This window comes from Homo sapiens, chromosome 6 (assembly GCF_000001405.40).
Source record: "Homo sapiens chromosome 6, GRCh38.p14 Primary Assembly".
Classification (NCBI taxonomy): Eukaryota; Metazoa; Chordata; class Mammalia; order Primates; family Hominidae; genus Homo; species Homo sapiens.
Genome location: NC_000006.12, coordinates 69,193,377 through 69,218,031, shown reverse-complemented (window position 1 = coordinate 69,218,031; position 24,655 = coordinate 69,193,377). Strand labels below are relative to the sequence as shown.

The 24,655-nt window shown below is 37.4% G+C and overlaps 1 protein-coding gene across 1 annotated transcript in view, besides 1 other annotated feature; it reads right to left on the bottom strand.

Annotated features, from left to right (window-relative positions):
• The window catches only part of ADGRB3 (adhesion G protein-coupled receptor B3), a 754,225-nt gene that overhangs the window by 171,475 nt on the left and 558,095 nt on the right, over positions 1-24,655 (bottom strand). The window lies entirely within an intron of this gene.
• Positions 1,244-2,218: an enhancer, noted in NCBI's record as "OCT4-NANOG hESC enhancer chr6:69925706-69926680 (GRCh37/hg19 assembly coordinates)". NCBI's record gives its function as "activates a minimal SCP1, AML or CMV promoter by ChIP-STARR-seq in naive and primed H9 embryonic stem cells {active_cell/tissue: H9 hESC(naive and primed)}" and the evidence as "EXISTENCE:reporter gene assay evidence [ECO:0000049][PMID:30033119]".

Genomic DNA, 24,655 nt, shown 5'->3' with positions numbered 1-24,655 from the left:
TATGTTAATGTTATATGCAAAAATATGTATATCTCAAGACCTCCCAGATATGAGAGCTTTGCATCCTTGTTTAAGAGTGAGGCGAGCTCCTCATCACCTGTATCATACTCATTTAGTTTTTTTTAAAACTGAATACCTGTCTGTCTAAAAAGCTGGGGAAAAATGCTATAGTTACATTACTGTTAATTCTGTCCAGTTCACATCTCACTCTCAGATCTACGTCAGGGAGGACTCAAGGACAGAAGGCTCTTCAATCTGACTGCCAAAGGGGCTGTGAAGAGAAGCAAATCAGGGTTTTTAATCATCCTATAGCACAAAGGAGAGAACATGCTTACATCAAATTATTAATCTCCCATGGCATCTTTCAGGTAAATCTAAGTCCCTGCCCAACCAGAGTTGAGATGTGCTGCAGCCCATGGGGCTGGGCGACACCCTGCTTCCTTTCCTTGCAACCAGGCCACCTTGAACAGAGCACTGCATTCTTGCTATATCACGCAGCCTTACTTACCAGCCATGTTACTGAACTATAGATAATTTATGACTGCAACACTCAGAAATAAGGGGCAGAAAAGCAGATGCTCAAGGCCAGATTTTGCCAGTTTTATTCTATGTTGCCTATCACATCATAAAAATCTTTTTTTTCTCCCATACAAGTTTTATTTGCAATCATTATACAGATTTATCTTAGAGGCTTGGGGTAAAAAGGGCAGTATCTCAGACCTTTCCTTCAGTACAAGTACTGATAAGAACTCTCTGCTTCTTGGTGACTACTGCCAGGACCTCAGCTCAGCCTCCAAATGACCGACTATTAAAAAGGACCACATTTTCTTGTCTCCAGATTCACCTTTATTTACGACTCTTTTGGGTGAGACATCTGCGCCACCCACTCAGGACTCAAAGAAACTGAAGGTCCCTTTTCTCACATTCATTCAGTTGGACTTGCTCCAGAGTGGCTGAAAGGAAACATGATGATTTATATACCCCTATTGCTTCAAGAATAAGAATCATGCCTCCTAAATGTCTTTTCCCTTTTTCCTCAATAAGCCCCTTCCCAGTTTCTGGACAAGACAGGTTACAGGTAGGACAGCATTCAGGAGTGAGAGTTGTGTGGGCAGCTCTGTGCCCTCTTCATCTCCAAACCTGAATGCGTGCAGTTCCTCTCTTTATCCAGATTGACAGATTATTTCATCATTCCACTGAAGACCACCATTTAAAATAGACAATAACACCACTGGGACCCCATGTCCCTGAAAGCTAATCACTGTCACTCTACAACCAATGGTCAGCCTCTTTCTGGTTATTCTGTCCAAGCCGATTCTTTCTGCCTTGGAGATTTTCCAGAGCTCTCTAGGCTATTTTTCTGTTTCTCTGGAACTGAACCCATGGGGCTTCATTTTCTGTGTTCTTGGAATGGCTTTGCTCTGGAGATAGCCCAGTGTTCTCTCCCTCCTCAGGTCACTCACAGTGGATTCTGTGGTTCGGGACTTTTTCACACTCCTAGTTTTACCTGTGGGTGTTGCTCAGTGTTTAGTTCAGCCTTATTTACATTTGTGCTTCCTTTCTCCTGGGCCGATGGCAACAGGAGTACCCTCTGATAACCACAACCAGGGCCTGTAGGTAACTTTTCCCTTAACAAGGTGTTAAAAGCCCTTCAAATTACATTACTTGGCTTTTTGATAGAAACCTTGATCCTAAATCAGTCTTAGGTAAATTTTCTCACTAATTCTAGGTATTCAAATGCAAGTGGCCCCAAGCAATAGTCTTTAGAGATGGAAAGTAGTTCTGTTTAGACCTATTAGGGTCTTTCAATCAAGTACATTCTTTAGCCTAGAGCTTTTCATCCATCCATCCACTTAACAAATAAAGTGCCTACCTATTTTCAGGCAATTACTAGGATTTTGGGAAGGTGAAAATGATACTCTGCCACCAAAACCATTATAATATTTAAAATAAAGTCAGTATTTAGTAGCAGCCAAAAAATATGCTGTGTAGGATACACACTTATTTAGATTATAATCTCCTATCCCAATGGAAGACGAAAAACCATCTTTGTGTCCTAGAAAGTAGTCAAGGTAGATAGGAGATTTGAATTTATATTAACTATCTATGTCAGCTGTGGAAAAGAATTAAAGGAGTTAGCAACATCCAGTTTGAGGATTATTAGGGCCTAAGAAATTTATTTCACTGTGTGGAAGACAACCACCCACTCTTCTCCTCCTCTAACAAGCCAGAGAAATTTGGTTTTAACCAAGGGAGGAGATCTTTAAGTCAGCTGTAAGAATATTATTGTGAGAGAATGGACAAAGCCACAACTAATAGGCTTTGGATGATTTTTTTTTTAACCTGTCCCCGAAGTCTTTGAAATGTCTCTAATGAGAATTGTGGGATAGGCTACATTATATCTCTTATAGGTCTTATAATTCTTTATTCAAGCAAAAAAGGTTGAGTTTAGTTAATATTTTCCTGAAAACACTTCACTTTTGAAAGCAATGGATATTTCATAAAAGGACTGAATTATCTATAGAGATATATCTATCTACATCTATCTACACACACACACACACACACACACACACACGTTTCTGTTCATTTTGTCATCTTTTCTTTCTTTTTTAAAGCTACAACTAAGAAAAAAAGAAAATGGGAACTAGAACATATATTTTCTTTTTAACATTTTATTTTGAAAAAATTTTAGACATAAAATGTAAAAATAGTACACAGATATCCCCTTCACTCAGCTCTTCTTCTATGCTAATTTGGCATAACCTCAGTATAATTAATGTTATAAAGTTAAAATTAGCACATACTATTAACTAATCTTTAAACCTTCAAAATCCAATCGTATCTCTAATGTCCTTTTTGTGACACTGCATCTACTGCAGGGTTCTGTACTGCATTGCCATGTTATCTCCTCAATGTCCAATCTGGGACAGTTCTCAGTCTTTGTCTTTCATGACTTTTACAATTTTGAAGAGTATTTACCACTTATTTTGTGGAATGTCCCTCAATTTAGGTCGGCATGTGTTTTCCCAAGAGTAGATGGAGAGTGATGTTTTGCCTTTCTTGGAATATCGTATCAGGAAGTATATGCTATGCGTAGGTCTTGTTCCTCACTAGATGATGTTAGCTCTGATCCCAGGTTTCCCTACTTTTTCAATTTGTAACTTAAAAAGTATATTTTAGGAAGATGTATTTTCTTTTAAGAATTTGAGCTTTTTAAAATTAGGTTGGTGCAAATGTAATTGTGGTTTTTGCCATTACTTTTAATGGTAAAAACCACAATTACGTTTGCACCAACCTGACAGAAACTGAGACATGGGCAATTGTGGGGGATTTCTTTTAGGGCTAGAAAACTTCTTATTCCCTCCTGATACCCAGCATGCTTCAAAGTCACATATCCACAGTCCAACAAGACTCTGCTCACCGTAATTTTAAACCTAAGTAGATTTGGGGGATCTAGTCTTTACAGCTAAAATCACCAGTCTGGTTGTTGTTTTAGTCACTTTCTTGGTTGATCTTTGCCAGAAATTTCTTCTGTTAATAAAACATAGCTCTTTAATATAGTACCTGTCCCCCAAATGTTTTGCAGTCTGTTTTGCCTGCTAGGAAAATAAAATAGACCTGAATCAGCAGAGACGGAGGATGCTTTAACTCTACAGTGGGTCAAGCAGCACTGACTACAATACTCAAGGGCTGCTGAAAAGCCATATCAGGTACCTCATATAGTCATGTATTACTAAGCTGATGCCTCAGGGTAGCACCACACCCAGCTGACACCACTTCCAACTGACAATTGTAACAAAAAGGGAACTAACGAGTTTTCAAATTCCTCCTGCATATTCCTGTCCATCATTGTGTGCCTTTGCTAATGCTGTTTGTTCCTCTCCTCTACCCCTGCATGGGATATTCTTCTCCAGTTCAGGTCAAATACCCTCTTCTCTGTAAAACTTTCCTTAATATTTTACACCCAGGGATGCCCAGGGCTGCTTGTGTTCTGATAGCTATTTTTATATGTCATTTATAAATAGCATATTGTATAGTGGTTAGTTATTGAGGTCACTTTCTCCCCTACTCAATTTTTAGGTCCTTAACATCAGAGACCATATTATTCTATTTGGAATCACAATATATAACTTTGAACATATTGGGTGGTAAATGAGGGTTCGTTGAGCAAAGGAGGTACAAACTTGGAATATAGTAAAATAGTAAATGCTGTATCACATTCTCTCTATCAATCTATTTATTGATCCATCTATCTAATCTAGCTTTACCCTTCCAGTTACAGAAAGATTTAAGGTGGCATTTGAACATGTACAATAAAAGATAAAAATAATATTAAACAAAAATAGATATGAAAAAATAGAAGTAGGAGGAAGGAGCCAGGAGTGTATCAAGTAAAACGCATGTTGTACTGTCTGTACTTTTGCTAGAGATGGAGTCTAAATAAAGCCTGTGATAAATATGGAAAAATAGTTTTCAAAATGTCAGGAAACCCATGGGACTATGCTATATAGCAAGAGAATGTTCTCCATGAGAATTTCCTTACCCAAAAGCCAATGTATAGCAAATATTAATTTCTAAAATTAAAATACAGGTATAATCCTGAATCATGCAAAAGTTATTTAATGATTGCCAGTCATGGTTTACTGAAGCAATGCACATACCAGTTTTCTCTTTACATTTGTGATTTTTGGAACAAAGCATCTTTGGAACCAGGGAAATAGGTAGGTTACCCTTAAGGTAAATATAATGTGAGAGTGAAGTGCAAACTAATTCTCCTATTTGTTGAATGTTCTCATTTCTAGAATTTATAGGGAAGAAAATTACATTCATTTGAAAGATTTCTGAAGCCAAGTGGGGAGAGTGAGATATGAACAAGTACTTGAATTTGTTCATGTGCATGCACTTTAATTTTGTGCTAAGTATTCACAGTCTTCACAAAATAAAGTGATGTCTTTATAAAATGAATACTTCATCTATAGCCGCACTAATGTATCTCATTAGATTTGTGGGCTAAACTGAAACATTATGGGATCATATTACAGGAACACTTGTCAAGCTATGCATCAGCTTCCTTGCAAAAGATAATATTTTTTCCTATCACTCCTCTTTATCCACTTTAAACTAAAATAATGTCTGCTACCTCCTATCACCTTTCTACTGCTGAAAAGAGGTATCACAGGCCCACAGATCGAGAAAGTTCTACAATAAACAAGATAAAAAGCTGGTTCTGACTTGCTGATAAAGGTTACATGCAAAGACCCTTAATCAAACACTACCCATTCCTCTTTTCTAACGCATTAAGTTTTCTTACCAAACCAGTAGTTTCATTGTCTGCAATGGGATTTTAGATAGGAATAACTGGCCAATTAAATATTTCAAATATTCTGCCTACCAAATCAAGGAAGGAACAGGACAATCAAGCAGTGCAATTTGATGAATGTCTGGAGGAATAAAAGAAAAGGTCATGTTTCAGTTTCTACTGGGGATCCTTTATTTTTTTTTTCTTTTAAAATAACACTTTTATGGAAAAAATACAATGAATAATCATCTTTAACCTTAAAATCTTTTTGAAAATTGTGTAATTTAGCTCTTTTATTGGGTCATCTTTAAAAACATTCAGTGCTCCACATAAAATGGGAACTCGATAGTGCGGTCTGAAATACTCTTAAACAGTCTTATGTTTCTCCTATTTCAGGCTAATTGAACTTGTGTTTCCATTTTAATTTTTTAAAATGTAGTTCTGTGTGATTTATGTATTCACAAATTCAGGAAAGCTAATTAGAGGGCAATATTAGAAAAGGCCATCATAAAACACGTTTCACAGGCAAATAAGCAACAAAAATGAGTTTTGATGTTTTTTCGAATGCTGTACTGTTCAAAGTGAGGTTACAGTAACCTTATTTGATTTCCTACAAATTCATTATGCTAATACTGAAAATTAATTATGTTCTTGCATCAGAATTTATGGAATTCAGAAAATATTAAACTTCTTATAAATTTGAGAATAAAAGTCAGTCTGCTAAATCAAATAACAAAGTATAAACTTGAGCTTATCTCTCTGTACATTTCTCTGAATTATGTAATATCTAAGCATTTATTTTATAATCAAAAATGCTAGACTATGTAAAATACATGTGGTTGTAATCCATACAGAATTGATTGTAATGCACACAGTTGTAATCCATATAGAATTGGTTATGAAAGATGAAACAGTGGATAGCAGTATAATTTTGTGGTTTGGAGATGGGTATGGAGTCGTCTATTCTTGTGTTCAACAAATAATATTCCAAGTCAAGTTTTAGGTCCTGGGAATATAGCTGTAAAAGTCTCTGGCCATACATTTGAGTGAGAAGAAGATGATAATATAAACTAATAAATATCTTATATAATATAAATGAGAGGAAGATAAGGACATAGTGACAGGGAAGGTCCAGGGCTTCTACTTGTTAGAGTTGGCCTCTTTAAGCTCAGTTGTTACATTTTTTATGATATTTTTCTACCTGATAGTGTTCTTGTAACACATTAAATATTATAATACAGGAACTTTTTTAGATGTTACTTGGCACTAGATGCACACACACGCAAACAAACACATTAAAGATATATAGGATTAAGTTTGGCAGAAAAGCCCAAATCTTATTGTCTTTCATCTACAATCTGAAGAAAGATGGCCCACAGCTTGTATGATATTCCACTGCATCAGGGGTATAGATTCCCTTTCTTTTATTGGCTCTATCACGCATGACCTCCAATTCAGGCCCCAAGATGACTGACCCAGCTATAGGTTGCCGACCTTCCTTCCAGCAAACAGTGAAAAATAAAACAAAGAGAACTTTCTCCCTTTTCTTAAGAATATGTCCTGAAAGTCACATACACAACTTCTGCTTATATTTCTTTTTTTTCTTTTGAGACGGAGTCTCTCTCTCTCGCCCAGGCTGGAGTGCAGTGGCGTGATCTCAGCTCACTGCAAGCTCTGCCTCCCGGGTTCAGGCCATTCTCCTGCCTCAGCCTCCCGCGTAGCTGGGACTACAGGTGCCTGCCACCACGCCTGGTTAATTTTTTTTTTTTTGTATTTTTGGTAGAGACGGGGTTTCACCGTGTTAGCCAGGATTGTCTCGATCTCCTGACCTCGTGATCCGCCAGCCTCGGCCTCCCAAAGTGCTGGGATTACAGGCGTGAGCCACCATGCCTGGCCGTTCTGCTTATATTTCATTGACTAGGCAGATTAAAATGGCAGGGAAGCTGGGTGCTATGGTTTGAACGTCCCCTCCAAAACGCATGTTGAAATTTATTTGCCATTTTAACAGTGTTGAGAGATGGGACCTTTAAGAAATGATTAAGTCATTGGCTGGGTGTGATGGCTTATGTCTGCATTCCCAACACTTTGGGAAAGCAAGGCAGGAGATCACTTGAGCCTAGGAGTTTTAGACCACCCAGTAGGACCCCATCTCTACAAAAAATTAAAATGTATGTGATGGTTATTATCGAGTGTCAACTTGATTGAATTGAAGAATACAAAGTAGTGATCCTGGATGTGTCTGTGAGGGCGTTGCCAAAGGAGATTAACATTTGAGTCCGTAGGCGGGGAAAGACAGACCCACCGTTAATCTGGATAGGCACAGTCTAATCAGTTGCCATGACAGCTAGAATATGAAGTAGGCAGAGAAATGTGAAAAGAGAGACTGGCCTAGCCTCCAGGCCTACATCTTTCTCCCATGCTGGATGCTCCCTGCCCTTGAACATCAGACTCCAAGTTCTTCAGTTTTGGAACTCAAACTGGCTCTCCTTGCTCCTCAGTCTGCAGATGACCTATTGTGGGACCTTGTGATCATGAGTTAATATTTAATAAACTCCCCTTTATATATATATATATATATATGATATATATTAATATATGATATATATGAGTGTGTGTGTGTATCTATATACATATATTCAATTAGTTCTGTCCCTCTAGAGAACCCTGATTAATACAGATTTTGGTAGCAGGAGTGGTTCTAGAGGAGCAGAGTATTAAGGATGGAGTTCTTTCATTGGTTTTGGGGTTTCTGGAGTTGGCTGCTTAATATGATTAGACCTCAAAATACTAAGGACTCTTCTTCTAATAGTATGGAGAACACTGATAGTCCTTGGCATGAACTGTTTAGAGAGTTATGCAAAATAAATGAATTTGATTTATCCTGATTCATCCCTCGTGTCGAGAGGCAAGAAGTTTAGTGACTCTATACATAATAGCTTTGACCATATGTGGAGAACCAAAGAACATCTGGTACCTGGTATGTAGCCATTGACTTGGCAAATGCCTATTTCTCCATTTATGTCCATAAGGCCCACCAGAAGCAATTTGCCTTCAGCTGGCAAGGCCAGCAATACTCCTTTACTGTCCTACCTCAGGGGTGTATCAACTCTCCAGCTTTGTGTCATAATCTTATTCAGAGAGACTGCAATTGCTTTTTGCTTCCACAAGATATCACACTGGTCCATTACATTGATGACATTATGTTGATTGGATCCAGTGAGCAAGAAGTAGCAAACACACTGGACTTACTGGTGAGACATTTGGGTGCCAGAGGATGGGAAATAAATATGACTAAAATTCAGGGACCTTCTACCTCAGTAAAATTTCTAGGGGCCTATTGGTGTGGGGTCTGTTGAGATATTCCTTCTAAGGTGAAGGATAAGTTGCTGCATTTGGCCCCTCCCACAACTAAGAAAGAGGCACAATGCCTAGTGGGCCTATTTGGATTTTGGAGGCAACATATTCCTCGTTTGGGTGTGTTACTCTGGCACATTTAGCAAGTGACCTGAAAGGCCGCCAGTTTTGAGTGAGGTCCAGAATAGGAGAAGGTTCTGCAACAGGTCCAGGCTGCTATGCAAACTCCTCTGCCACTTGGTCCATACGAGCCAGCAGATCCAATGGTGCTTGAGATGTCAGTGGCAGATAGGGATGCTGTTTGGAGCCTTTGGCAGGACCTCATAGGTAAATCACAGTGGAGGCCTCTAGGATTTTGGAGCAAGGCCCTGCCATCTTCTGCAGATAACTAATCTCCTTTTGAGAGACAACTCTTGGCCTGTTACTGCGCTTTGGTGGAAACTGAATGTTTGACCATGGGTCATCATGTTACCCTGTGAACTGAACTGCTTATCATGAACTGGGTGCTTTCTAACCCATCAAGCCATAAAATGGGTTATGTATAGCACCATTCCATCATCAAATGGAAGTGGTATATATGTGATTGGGCTTGAGCAGGTCCTGAAGGCACAAGTAAGTTACATGAAGAAGTTTCTCAAATGGCCATGGTCTCCACTCCTGCCACCCTGCCTTCTCTCCCCTCGCCTGCACTGATGGCCTCATGGGGAGTTCCCTATGATCAGTTGACAGAGGAAGAAAAGACTAGGGCTTGCTTCACAGATGGTTCTGCACGATATGCAGGCACCACCCTAAAGTGGACAGCTGCAGCATGACAGCCCCTTTCTAGGACATCCCTGAAGGATAGCAGTGACGGGAAATCTTCCCAGTGGGCAGAACTTCGAGCAGTGCACCTGGTTATATACTTTGCATGGAAGGGGAAATGGCCAGATGTGTAATTATATACTGATTCATAGGCTGTAGCCAATGGTTTGGCTGAATGGTCAGGGACTTGGAAGAAGCATGATTGGAACACTGGTGACAAAGAAATTTGGGGAAGAGGTATGTTGGTGGACTTCCCTGAGTGGTCAAAAACTGTGAAGATATTAATATCTTATATGAATGCTCACCACCGGGTGACCTCAGCAGAGGAGGATTTTGATAATCAAGTGGATAAAATGACCCGTTCTCTGGACATCACTCAGCCTCTTTCCCCAGCCACCCCTGTTATTGCCCAATGGGCCCATGAACAATGTGGCCATGGTGGCAGGAATGGAGGTTACGCATGGGCTCAGCAACATGGTCAACACTTACCAAGGCTGACCTGGCTATGACCACTGCTGAGTGCCCAATTTGCCAGTGGCAGAGACCAACGCCGAGCCCTCGATATGGCATCATTCCTTGGGTGATCAGCCAACTACCTGGTGGCAGGTTGATTATATTGGACCTCTTTCATCATGGAAAGGGCAGAGATTTGTCCCCACTGGGTTTGCCTATTCTCCATGCAGTGCTTCTGCCAAGACTACCATCTGTGGACTCACAGAATGCCTTATCCACTGTCATGGTATACCACACAACATTGCCTCTGACCAAGGAACTCACTTCATGGCTAAAAAAGTGAGGCAACAGGCTCACGCTCATGGAATTCACTGATCTTACCATGTTCCCCATCATCTTGAAGCAGCTGGATAGATAGAAAAGGGGAATGGCCTTTCGAAGTCCACAATTACAATGCTAACTATGTGACAATACTTTGCAGGGCTGGGGAAAAGTTCTCCAGAAGGCCATGTATGCTCTGAATCAGCATCCAATATATGGTACTGTTTCTCTTATAGACAGGATTCACTAAAATTCAGGCACCTTCTACCTCAGTAAAATTTCTAGGGATCCAGTGGTGTGGAGTCTGTTGAGATATTCCTTCTAAGGTGAAGGATAAGTTGCTGCATTTGGCCCCTCCTATAACCAAGAAAAAGGCACAATGCCTAGGGGGGCTATTTGGATTTTGGAGGAAACACATTCCTCATTTGGGTTTGTTACTCTGGCACATTTATCAACTGACCCAAAAGGCTGCCAGTTTTGAGTGGGGTCCAGAATCAAGGGATGGAAGTGGAAGTGGCACCACTCACCATCTCCCCTAGTGATCCACTAGCAAATTTTTTTGCTTCCCATTCCTGCGACATTACATTCTGCTGGCCTAGAGGTCTTAGTTCCAGAGGGAGGAACATTGCCCCCAGGAGACACAACAATTCCATTAGACTGGAAGTTAAGACTTTGGGCTCCTCCTACCTTTAAGTCAACAGGCTTAGAAGGGAGTAACAGTGTTGGCTGGCGTGAATGACCTAGACTATCAAGATGAAATCAGTCTACTACTCCACAGTGGAGGTCAGGAAGAGTATGCATGGAATACAGGAGATCCTTTAGGGTGTCTCTTGGTATTAACATGCCCTGTGATTAAGGTCAATAGAAAACTACAAAAGCCCAATCCAGGACTACAAATGACCCAGACCCTTCAAGAAAGAAAGTTTGGGTCACTCCACCAGGAAAAATAATCACAACCTGCTGAGGTGGTTGCTAAAGGCAAAGGGAATACAGAATGGGTAGTAGAAGGTAGTCATCAATACCAGCTATGACCACATGACCAGCTGCAGAAACGAGGACTGTAACTCTCATGAGTATTTTCTCCTTCTTTTGTTTCCTTCTTCATTTAATTTCTTTTCTTTTTTATCATGTGACATAAGATTTATTGACTTCACATCATCATTTAAGTATTGTTAATGTTAGGTAATAATATTTGAGTTGGGGATTGGTGCGTTTCTGGTTGTACGAAGGATAGTTGTATTATGTTAGACATAATTATGACCTTATTATTCTCTTTATCTGAAGGTTATGTATAATCTCAGGAGGTGTGTATGGGTTCAAGTTGACAAAGGGTGGACTTGTGATGGTTAATACTGAGTGTCAATTTGACTGAATTGAAGAATACAAAGTATTGATCCTGGATGTGTCTGTGAGGGCATTGCCAAAGGAGATTAACATTTGAGTCAGTGGGCGGGGAAAGGGAGGCCCACTCTTAATCTGGGTGGGCACAATCTAATCAGTTGCCAGCGCAGCTAGAATATAAGCAGGCAGAAAAATGAGAAAAGAGAGACTGGACTAGCTTCCCAGCCTACATCTTTCTCCCATTCCGCATGCTTCCTGCCCTCAAACATCAGACTCCAAGTTCTTCAATTTTGGAACTCAAAGTGGCTGTCCTTGCTCCTCAGCCTGCAGATGACCTATTGTGGGACCTTATGATAGTGTGAGTTAATACTTAATAAACTCATATATATATATATATATATATATATATATATACCATTATTATATATATTATTCTCTCTCTATATATATTTTAATTAGTTCTGTCCCTCTAGAGAACCCTGACTAATACAATGTAAAAAAAAAAAATTAGCTTGGTGTGGTGATCCATGCCTGTAGTCCCAGGTACTTGAGAGGCTGAGGCAGGAGGATCCTTTGAGATCAGAAATTTGAGGCAGCAATGAGCTATGATGACACCACTGTACTCCAGCCTGGGTGACAAGGTGAGACTCATCTCTTAAAAATAATGTAAAAAAATTACATGATTCAGTCATGAGGGTTCTGCCCTCATGAAGAGATTAATGCTATTATTGTGGAAGTGAGTTAGTTATCACAGGAGTAAAACATATCCTGATAAAAAGATATGTTTGGCCCAAGAGTTTGCCCTCTCTTGCACAATAGCTTCTGCCTCCCACATTTCACCATGGGATCACCCATACTAGAGGCCAGTGCCATTTTCTTGAAATTCCCAGCCTCCAGAACCATGAGGCAAATAAACATCTTTTATTTATAAATCACCCAGTCTGTGGTATTCTGATGTAGGTATAGAAAATTGACTAAGAAACTGGGTACTGTACTTTTTTTGATTTGTTTGTTGTTTGTTTGTTTTAACCATGAGGCTATCTTCTCAGGTAAAAAAAAAAAAAAGGTCTTTTATTCTACAGAAAAGACAATATCAGTGGCAGTCTCAGTCTTCAATTCATAGGGCCAGTATAACTGAGCATGATGATTCTCTTTCTTTAGAGTAGCTTTGAAACTCTCCTGACATCTTCTTAGAGGGGAGAAAAATGCCGCAGCAATGAGGACCCCAGGTGAATTGAGTTAAATAAAATGTCCTTATATTGAATGGACATTAGCTTTTTAAGTCAATATTTTGATAGTAGGAGTGTTAAGCAATATTCAGTTTCAGCTACACAGTTCTATTTTAATGAAGCTTATTCCTGGCTGGGTTTGCAATATGCTAAACATTTTACAAATTATTTAGCATTTACTTTTAATGGAAAAAGTGTATGAGCATATTACAGGAAAAATTTTAACTTAATATAAAATGAATCCAGCCTTTTGCTGAAGGTTACATTAGGAATGTCTTAACAGGCACAGTATGATTTTCAGAAATTGAAAATCCTATAAAGTACATACAACCTACTATCTACTTTTAAGTGCCACTTAACATTGTCCACTCATATTGGGGTTATAAAATAAATTGACAACAATTTAAAACAGTTGCATAATTTTACAGTCTTGGAAACGGGGTCAGAGAGATTAAAAGACTTGCTAAAAAAAAGAAAAAAAGAACCCAACAATTAACGGTGGCAATAGGAGATGATTCTTTTAATTTCTAGATAAAATGTTTTGTAAAAAATAAGAATATGAACAAAGCAACTGAGCAGGGCAAATTAATTTTATGAACCCAGCTCTTCATGTATTTTTCAAATGATGGTATTGGAAAGAGTGGAGGGATGAAAACTAAACATACCAGTAGTGGGGTTTAAACCCACACAGCCACTACTCCATTGGATCTTAAGTCCAATGCCTTAACCACTCAGCCAAATGAGTGATTTTTGAGACTGGCTCTTAATCACTATCCTTAGAATACCAAACTCAAAAGCAAGAAACAACTGAAGACACTCAATTGCCATATTGGCACATATATGGTTCAATGTTGTATGGTTATTCAGGTCTTTAAATACTTTGGGCTTTTTAATGTTTGGCAACATAATCGTTTTTATTAGTGTTGCAGGAAAAAAAATGTGATTTAAGTATCAATAAAAAAATATAATGTCCAAAGGAAACACTTTGCTTCATGGAAAGAGAAAAACATTTTGAGGACTTTGGGCTTTTTATATTTTACACAAAACATTTAGGCTTGAAAGCCATGCCAAGTCTCAGAGAGGCTTTGAAACTTTAAGTTAATGTATCCAGAAGAAAGGTTAGTGCTTATTCTTAGTGCATCACTGGTCAGCCAGTCAGTTGGTAAATACCAGTTATTAAAAACTAAATGTGTTCATGGCACAGCTTTGGGATTGTTAAAAAAAAAATGCTAGCTTTGTTCCTTTTATCAAAGCTGTTAATTATCTTAAGGATGACTAAGAACACTCTCAAATGAAAAATCTGAAGTGAAATAAGACACACGTATATACAAATCTAGCAGCAGACCTCTTGGCTTCTGTACATAAGAGCAGAAGGATCACTAGATTTACTCATAGACGAAATTTTAGTGGCCAATTGAAATCAATTAAACCATGAGATTCAAAAGAATTTCCTGGTCTTTGGCAAATGAGGCTCAGTTTGTGCGGATTATGCATATTTGTTAGTTTAGAAGAAAGATGTAATGATACATGAGAGTAAGTAGATGTTACAGAGAATAATGTGTGAGGCAGGAAGCAGAAAGTATTGTGGCTGCAGAAAAGGGCAGGGACCAACTAAAGAATCTTGAGGGTCACGTTTTCAAGACTTGCCTTTGTCTTGTGGATGATGGTGCAATATTGAGAGCTTTTAAGAAACAATGATATGACTTCTTACCAACTCCAATAATTCATAGCATGTCTGAAGCCTTAGTATAATTAAATATGGGTAAGAGAAAAAAAAAACAAAAACAATGGAGAGACTAATAGAAAGAAGGAATAAAGGAAAGAAGAACAAGATAAAGGGCTCTGTTATTATTTGCCCCTGAAACCAAGGTCACCACTCAATCCTGGCAATGCCTGTTTTGCTGATGAATGGGTTATAACAAGGTGTAGTTGCTAAAAGCTTACTCAATGATAATGATAATAAAACCACAGTAATGATCTGATGTACCAGGCAATGCCGTTGTACTTTCCAGGATTAAGGTATGATTTAAAACTGTTTTCACAACCTCTCTGCATTATGCTGTGCTAATTTCAAAAGTAGCTTTTTTGTTTGTTTTTTTCAAATCAAATATCTGTATTCTTAACTGAGTTTCTCTCAGACCTCAGTACTCTATCCTTTAATGGCTGTGATCACTATGTTATGTTACCATGACTACTATCTGCCATGGTTTTAATTTTCACATAATATTTGCTGTTATGATTATGAACTAGCAGCTGGGGAGACTAATTTATTACTTGGCTATTACTGTTAAAGGTCATGTAACTCCAACGTTCTGCTAAAGCATTTGATCACATCCTGCGTGCTCTGCCAGAAAGCCTTTCTTCTGGCAACTCCTCAGGCTTCTGTGGAATTTATCACTTTTTCAACCAGGGAAGTTGAAGCCAGTAGGTACTTATTTCTGGTAGCTGCCAATAAAGTATCTGATTTCTCAAATGCCCTCTGTTCTTATACCCAGCTTTTCTTTATTCAGTAGTTATAAGAAATGTTGTTCATAAAAATTCAGCTACCTACATAGTCAACCCTCAACTATCTGTGGGAGATTAACTTAGTTCTAAATATTACTTGAAATCTCAATTAGGACACTTGACTGTGTTATTTAGGTATATGGAAGAATACATTCGAGTCTACCTGTGAAAAGTCTATTAATATTGCAGGTGCAAGTTGTGGTTTATAGGACAATTTTGAGACAAGCAGAGGAAAACTCTGTCTCTCTCTCTCCGTCTCTCTCTCTCTTTCAAGTGGAGTGGGTAGTACAGATTGGAATGTAGAATTTATAATAAATGGAATAATGCAACTGGTTAAGTGTTAATGCCCTAAATATAAGAGGAAAGACAGTCAGGATCCACTTCAGCATATAGAAAAGTATAGAGGTTTTAGTAACCCTTCCTAGATACCATAGATAACTTCTCAATTAAATATTAGTTCAATCTCAGAATTGTCCTTAATATTGAAAAGCCAAATGGAAACCTAAAACATCATTTTTATGAGACAACTTGCCTATCAACATTAGGGTATTTGTGACCAAAACATAGCCTCATTAAACATTTGTGAATGAGCAAAAACAATATATCTTCAAGATAAGAGTGACTTCAACTTCTGGTTCTGTAGAACACTGAGGAAGGACTGCAAATCACACTGGCAGGCAAGCTGGCATGCAGGAATGGTGTCCTATGGCACAATCTGAACATCATTTACAATACAAAGAGCTATAGAGAAGAGCTCAGTTTTTCCTGGATAAGATGTCTGAGTAGTGATGGTGATGCCATATTTCTGGAAAACTTAACATGTATCATTTTAAATGGAAGGGTAGACAACAGAAGATATGTTAAGTTTGATGAAATGATAGGTCGGATTAGAAAGGGGTAGGAATATCCTGGAGGTAGTTGAAATAGTCCATTCAGGGAGGAAATAGGGTCATAATGAAAATTCTGTTATAAAAGAAATTTCATGGAAGGAGAGACAAAATTTAGGATAGACCTAATAACATTGAGACCCATGTGGTTATAATCCTGGAACAGACAAGAGAGCAGTGATGCTGACAGTGCCTGACGTTAAGAGCACAGGCATATAAGGAAGATAAAAATATATACTTTTGATATTTTGAATCAATAAAATGTAAGTATATAGAAGAGAATGAAGCAAAACCCAGAACTCTAGAACATGTGCACTTTTAGGAGTTAGGAAACAAAACAATCAAAGAAAGCAGAGAAAATTAGAAGGAGGGAGAGAAAATAAGAATAGGGAGAGATAAAAAAAAGTTGGAAATAATCAATAGAGAATTTTAAGAAAGATAGGTAGTCAAAAGGGCCATATGTAACAGAAAGAAGTTCAGGAAGAAACAGCCAGGACAAGGTCCTGGGAACTAGGAGCCAGAGGAGGAAGTCACATCCAGGCAAGGTGGGGAGAGAGGGGAGGCAGCAGGTGTAGACCATCTTGTGGAAAAGACTTTTCTATAAAGTGTTTCAAAAAATGAGGTGTTAGCTCAAGAGTAACAAGGGAAGTATTTTAAGATAAAGGGAAATAATCATGGTGTTTTGTTATTTGTTTCTTCAGAGGGAGAAAAATCTAAACAGAAGCATCTAAAGAACCAGGGAAAGTAAAGGATGATTTATGGGCAAGTTCTCAGGTGGAAAGATACAATGAGAATGTGATTTCTATGTTAAAGCTATGAAGTCATAGGCTCTGTGAAGCATTTCTGTCATCTTATGTTGCTTATTAAATAAATTTATTTTTTGCACTTCTTTAATAAATTAATAATGATAGAAAGATGGATTCTAAATGCTTCTTCTGACATGGATAGATAATGGTTCTAGCAGTGTCAGCTTAAAAAAAACTTCTTTGCCTTTTCTTTTATTTCTCCCTGCTTTTAAAAGTTCCACTTTGGGGATGTAGGAGTTGGCTTCCTCCAGTTTTCCAAAAGCTTCTTGCGTGTAGATTTCTGGTTTGTTTTGGTCTGTGGCACAGTCATGGAATGTCACTTGTGAAAGCCATGTGAGACTCCAGGGAGATGCAGCTGAGAAGGCTTGCAGAGGCTTTCATAGATCTCACAGCTGCTTCCATCAGATGCTTAGATTCTCGGTTTGAACAGAAACATTATATCTTTGGTCAGAACCTTTAGTCAAGTAAAAATTGCAATGTAGAGAATGCCCAGTTGGTGTCCCAGACTTTGACACTCACCATTTTGTCTCAGGTGTCATGAGAGTTTATGTTCTCAGGCCTTTGCTCCTTTCTAAGACACAGATCTCCCTTTACTAACTTTATCTGTCAATGTGGGTTTAATTTTATTTGTATACTGATGACAACAGATTAATATTATAAATTTAGCCTTAATGTTCTCTCTGCCACATCTGTGCTATATGCTTGCCAAACTAATGTCAAGAATATGATATCTAGAATTTTTTTTTCAAGTTATCCCTACCAAAATGGTTGCTTTTGTGAAATGCAGGTAACCCTGTAACCCTTCAGCTTTTCTCTCTCATTTTCTTGAAACTTCATGTTAGAAAACAACATCTTGAAAATGAGAATATCAGACCCAATAGAGTTTTCTCTGTTTTTTTTTTAATTAAAACTTTATTTCTGGTAAAAATAACAAAAACATACATAAACCAGAAAACCAATGACATCAAGCTCTAGCAATCTTAATAGAGAAACAATATTTTACTTCTACTTCAGAAAGCAAATGCCAGAACGATGTGCTTTTTCATCTTAAACCTTTTTTTTTGATCAACATTGAATGGCTCAAAAACTTTAATAACAAATAACTAACATTTGAACAAGGCTATAAAGGTTTTAAGGGATATTTATGTACATAATCACTTTTAATTCTAGAAAAACCTTGCAAGAGGGTCACTATTATTACTCTCAGTTTGAATCCAAGGTCATGAAGAACAGAGAGCTCAAATAATTTCTAAATGCTCATCCATAAAGCAGGTAGCTGAGCTTCTGGGTTCAAACCTCAAGATCTTTCTATAATTCCACATTACCCCCAAGCTATGTGTTACTGTTTTGGGATACATTTATGGCTTCTGTTGCAATAAAACTTTGTCCTGAACCACTAAAGTGAGAATAGAAAGATACTTTTCTTTCTCAGAAAGTGGCTAATCCCAACTTAACTTTTAGAAACTTGTAGAAGTAATCATAATAAAGCTGAATGCCAAGAAAATTACATTTTTTCTTAGTTATAATAAGAAAAGCTTATGTTTCTTGAACAATGATCATACACCAGGAACTCTAGTGCTTTAAATGAGTTATCTCATTTAATTTTCATAATGGTATTATGCAGATTATTACTACTATCCCTATCTATCAATGTGGAAGCTGGCAATGATAATTTAACTTGCCCAAGGTCACCCAGGTGACTTCAAAAACAGTCTGCTTATAGAGTCTGCATGGTTAACCTCAGTAAGTACTCCTTCTCAGCTAAAATACTTGGAATGCAGTTGGTCTATTGAAAAGCTTTTCCTCCAGAATAGTAATGTAGCCTCCAAGGAAGTGTTAACAGAGATGTGCTGAGCAATGAAAAAGAAAAGTGAGGGAAATAAAGTTTTCAGAGTAAGTTTATCCACTCTAGAGATATTTACTGCCACACCCATAGCTGTTCCGAAGCCCATCATCATCTGGTGTATTTCTGCTTCACCTCCACTGGTGTCCTTGCCTGCTTTGACAGAACCAGGTAATGGACCTGCATTTAGCCACACGCTCAGTTGCTCTGCCTGTCTCATCATTTGCTCCAACGAGCCTGGCACTTGAGCTTGATTCATATTAAATGGTCAGATTTCTTTTGGATTTTGATAGATGGTGTGATTAGGATGTAGAAAATGATATTATAGCAATTAATCAATTAATTTATCTGAGTATATGTACTGGAATCACACCATATTTAGGCATCATTGACACACTTATTCATTTATTAATTAATTCAGGGGATTCCTAGTACAGTCAAAATAAAATCTAACCTCTCCAGATGACTATATGGCCCTACATGATTTGGCCCCTGTTACTCACTCCAGACTTGTCTCTTCCAACTGTTTCCTTGTGTTCCTTTATTTGCTTTCTTTCTGTTGAACATTCTGAATTTATTCCTGTCTCACAGCCTTTGTAGTTGCTGCTACCTTTGTCATAATGACTTGACCTCTCCAATTCTCAGATACTCCCTTTATTCAGGTATCTGCTCAAATATCACTTCTGAGAGGCCTTCCCCATCACCTTATCCAAAACATCACCTCATCATCCCACGCTCCATCTTTTCACCCTACTTTTTCTTCAGACTAGTTATCTTAACTAATAGCATAGTATTTATATTCCTATTTTTCTACACTATAATATAAAATCGTGAGAGTGGGGGCTTTATCAGTCTCATTCATCCCTTTATTACCATCACCCTGCACAGCACCTGGCTCATTTCAGGTGCTTGTCTTGAGTGCCTAGTTTTTCTTAGGCACTACTCTAGATTCTGTGACACAATTATGAGTAAGACCAACAAAGTCCTGCTCTCACAGAACTTATATTTTAGTATGGAAGACTGACAAAAACAAATGAATAATTTTTATTATATCAGATGGTAATGAATTAATAAGCCAAATACCTACAGTATATATCACTATTAAGAGGTTCAAAACACAAGAAGTGGAAAATATTATTCTTACTTACCCTGATTAACTTGAAATTATTCATATAAATACAAAGGAATCAAATAGTATGAAAAGATAAAGGAATGCTCAGAGAGGAATAAAGGTATTAGGAAATGAAAGGAGGTAAGTCTTGAATTAAGTAAGAGACAGGAATTAAAGAATAGAACTAAGTGGATAGGCACAAAGGGAGGAAAAGCTCCATGCACATAAAATTAAATATTTTGCAAAATACTTCATGAATCCTTCTTTGTCTTTTCTTCCAGCCTTTACATTGCTTAGCCTCTTACCTTTGCTTGATATTATACTTACCTCAGTAAAGTACCTACACTTGATAATATTTATAATATGAAGGTTTAATCTACATCTGACTCCAAACATTATCTAAGTCTCAGTTGTGGAACAAGAAATAGATGACAGAAGGGATCCAGGAGTCTCACATTTAAAACAGGTGAGTGGAAGTCAGTTGCAATGTAAATTGTAAACATCTAAGATATGGTATTTATGTCCTTTCCGTGAATTATTATGCTCATCGATATATCTGTTTGTATCCATTTTCTTATTTTGAAGTCCAAAAATGAGTGAATATTTTATCAGAGTTTTTCAATTAAGTAGGTAACTTAAAAATTCAACAATGTAAAAAAAAAAGTCTTTAGTAATCATGAAGCACACTTTGCTTTAAATATTTAGGCCCCAACATAAATCCTGTTACTATAATACACATGTATATGCAACATTATAAACACTTACCATATATAAAATACATACATTTGTAAAAATTAAAAGTTAAAGTATTTTTGTTCTTGAGAAAATGGTAAATAAACTAGCAATAAAAACACTATTAAATATGAAAGCAGGGACTAGTAAGTTGACCAGTAAAAGTTCAATTTAGACTAAAATATACTAGCAGATTTTTAAAAAACCTTTTGTCTTGCCCTCGAGGGAAACTGTGATATTAATATGAATAATATAATGATAAGAGACATAGACACCCACACATATACATATTGATATAGTTGGCAAAGGGTAAAGTGCAATTACTTCTAATTCTCAGAGCAAATGAGCAGGATGGTATTATCTCCATTTTGAAGATGACATATTAGGGCTCTGAGAGGTAAAATAACTTGCCTGCAATAATGCACTCAAATTCTGATATGTCTGACCCTAATGCCTGTGCTCCTTCTGCTACATCATACTGCCTTCATTAGATGACAAATCACCCTTTGTGATAAATCAAGGAATTACCTCTTTAAATAAAAGCAAAACGAATGAACAATAGAGACCTTACTTGCTCTGCTCTCTCATTATGTAAGTGTTACAGACTGAATCATGCTCTCCTAAAATTCATACATTGAAGTCCCAACCTCTAAAATCTTAAAATGCAGCTGTATTTTGGAGATAAGATTTTTAATAGAGGTGATTAAGTTAAAATTAGGCAGTTAGAATTAAAAGTTAAGTTACAACTTGGGTGTGACCCTAATCCAATATGGGCTGGTGTCCTTATAGAAAAAAGGATAGACATTTGGGATGCATTTGCAGAGAAAAGGCTATGTAAAGATAAAGTAAGAAGGCAGCCATCTGATAGCAAAAGAGAGGACTCTTATGAAACAAAACCTTCTGACACCTGGATGTTGAACTCACAGCCTGCGGAAGTGTGAAAAAATTAAATTTCTGTTGTCTAAGCCATGCAAACCGTGGTACTTTGTTATGGTAGCCCAAGCCAGCTAATACAGAAAGGCCAGCCTGTTTACCAATTTATGAAGACCAGCCTGACAGATCTATTATTACATGGAAAACTCTCATTAGGATGCTAATTCATATGAAATTGGCAAGAAAGGAAATTTTTGTTATGTAAAAATATATGACTTTATGTACCCATGTATTCCTCAGTAAAGTACCTACACTTGATAATATTTATAATATGAAGGTTTAATTTACATCTGACTCCAAACATTATCTAAGTCTCAGTTGTGGAACAAGAAATAGATGACAGAAGGGATCCAGGAGTCTCACATTTAAAACAGGTGAGTGGAAGTCAGTGGCAATGTAAATTGTAAACATCTAAGATATGATATTTATGTCCTTTCCATGAATTATTATGCTCATGGATATCAGTAGACTATTCATTTTTTCTTTAAAATCAATAGTTGTTTCCTAAACTCCAAACTCTGAAAAGATAAATAAGGCCTTGCTATAGCATATTTATGCTTTTGCGTAGTATAAAAAAAGGAATTGATTTAAACTGATATTGAGAAACGTGGCATAGGCCAGAGAGACAGAAAGGTAGAGACTATGATTCCACCAGGACTTTGTTCAGTCTGGCCTTGTGTATTAAAAACAAAAACAAACAAAAAAAAAACTTTGTGTATTGGTTTCTCCAAATATAAAAGCAATAAATGAAAACCTGCCCTTGTTCACAGGATACAAAAAGAAATTGTAAGAAGAAAGGCCAGAGAATATAATGGTAAAAATCAGGGATTTCAATTGCTTCAATACTCTAGGAAGATTACTCCAGTGTCTTTTTTTTTTTTTTTTTTTTTTGAGACAGGATATCACTCTGTCATTGAGGCTAATGTGCAGTGTGCCATCATGATTATTGCAGCCTCCAACTCCTGGGCCCAAGTGATCCTCCCACCTCAGCCTCCCAAGTATCTGGGACTACAGTGAATTTATTTTTTATTATTTATTTTTATTTTTTGTAGAAATAGGGTCCACTATGTTGCCAGGCCTGGTCTCGAATTACTGGGCTTAAGTGATCCTCTCACCTTGGCCTCCCAAAGTGCTGGGATTATAGGCATGAGCCCCTGAGCCCAGATCATGCAGTGTCTTAAACTTCTAAGAGTAGTATCTGCAATTGGTACAATTTTGAAATATTTCCATTAACGAAACTCTGAATATTGGAAGAATTCAAATCTGATATTTCCAACATGAATTCAGTGACAAGTGGATAAGTGAAGTAGCTTGTCCTTGAATTCTTAGGATATTTGGGTGTCTTCTTCTCCACTTCTACCACTGGACATAAATAGCAAGACCAAAGTATCTGCCGACTCAAACTTCTTTACAAACACACACCCATCTCTAGCCATATGTCCATATGATAAATAAAAAATATTAGCAGCTAACATTTATTGAATGCTTGCTATATACCAGGAATTGTTCTCAGCACTTTACATGAAATAGCACATGAAAGTCTCATAATCCTGGACTCTTACTACTTTTAGCTGTACTGTGGCAAGAGATGCTAAGTACCTAAGGTCACACAGCCAATAAGTTCACAGTTGGTTTCAAACCTAGGCAGAGTAGCCCTGGAGGCTCCACTCTTAAACATTAAGCTCTATAGGCTCTAATAATAATACGTTTGTTTATATATGTTTTGAGCATCAAAATTCCTTGTTAAGTAAGATTAAGAGGTTAACCTTACCAGAGGTTAAAGTGATTTGATAACCATCACATGACTCATAATATAAATGGTGAAAACAGGTCTAAAAGCCAATACATCTCACTTTCAAGCCCATTCTCACGCAATCAAAACTGATTTTGGCAACACAGAAAGGAACTCACTACTAATTTACCTTTTTATCTTAAGCTGCTCTTATCAAGAAGGAACCAGCGAAGTATTAAGAAATTCTGCTGATTTTCTGGAAAATCTGAAGAGCATCTAACCATAGCATCCAGTTCCAAAGATGAAAGCTGTCTCAGCAATTGTATAAACCTGGCCAGTATCACTATTACCCAATATGTAGAAGTCCCTGTGGGGAAAAGAAGTCCCTGCTGTACAAGGGACAGTTAAGTGAAACCCCACACGCTCTCATTTCCAGTCTATCTGAGATGCTATATTGTAGTGCTTTTTTATTTTGGGTAAGGTTTCCTTCAGCATCTATCATATGACATTTAAAAAAATTAAAATTAATTTAAATTTATTTTGTTTTAGAAATTTATGGCCACACCGGAGGTAAATAGAGAAATAAGAGAGGAAAATTCTGAAATGGAACTCACTAGTTTAAGGATTTAGAGAGAAAGATGAGAAGGATGAGAAAGGGAGAGGAAAACTTTATGAAAATGAAAATGAATGATGATGAAGAAGACAGATGATGGATAAAATGGTAGCTGGAAAAAATTAAAGCCAAAGAGCAGAATAAACTAGAGCTTCACTTTTTTGCCCTGGCTTTATTTTGTTTTTTTCTACCAGATTTGACCTGGGTTTTCATGGTTCAAGTCCTGAAATAATGTCATCTTAATTTGTGCTGTGCCTTATAGTTCACATAATATTTCTTGCCCCTAGTTTACAGAAAAATCCTATGATATACTTAAAGCAGGTTATTATTTTACATTCTAGGTAAAAAAAAAAATTGAGATTCAAAGGGTTAAGTTGTTTTCCAAAGGTCATACAGCTAGTGATAGAACCCAGGTGTTCTAATTTCTAACTCAGTGTTCTTTTTACCACATGATGCTACCTCTTCAATGTGTTATTTAATATGGTGTTATAGTGTCAGGACAGGTGAAATTGTCTACTTCTCTTAGTTTTCAGAATCTTGATGTCTTTAGCTTGTGCCACTGCCTTCCTCATTTCCTATGAGATTGAGGTAACAAGAAAGGCCTGAATAAAAGTATAGATGCCGAAGCACATCCACACCCACTAACAGATATTATTTCCCTGAATAAAATTATTTGTCATCAAGACAACAAG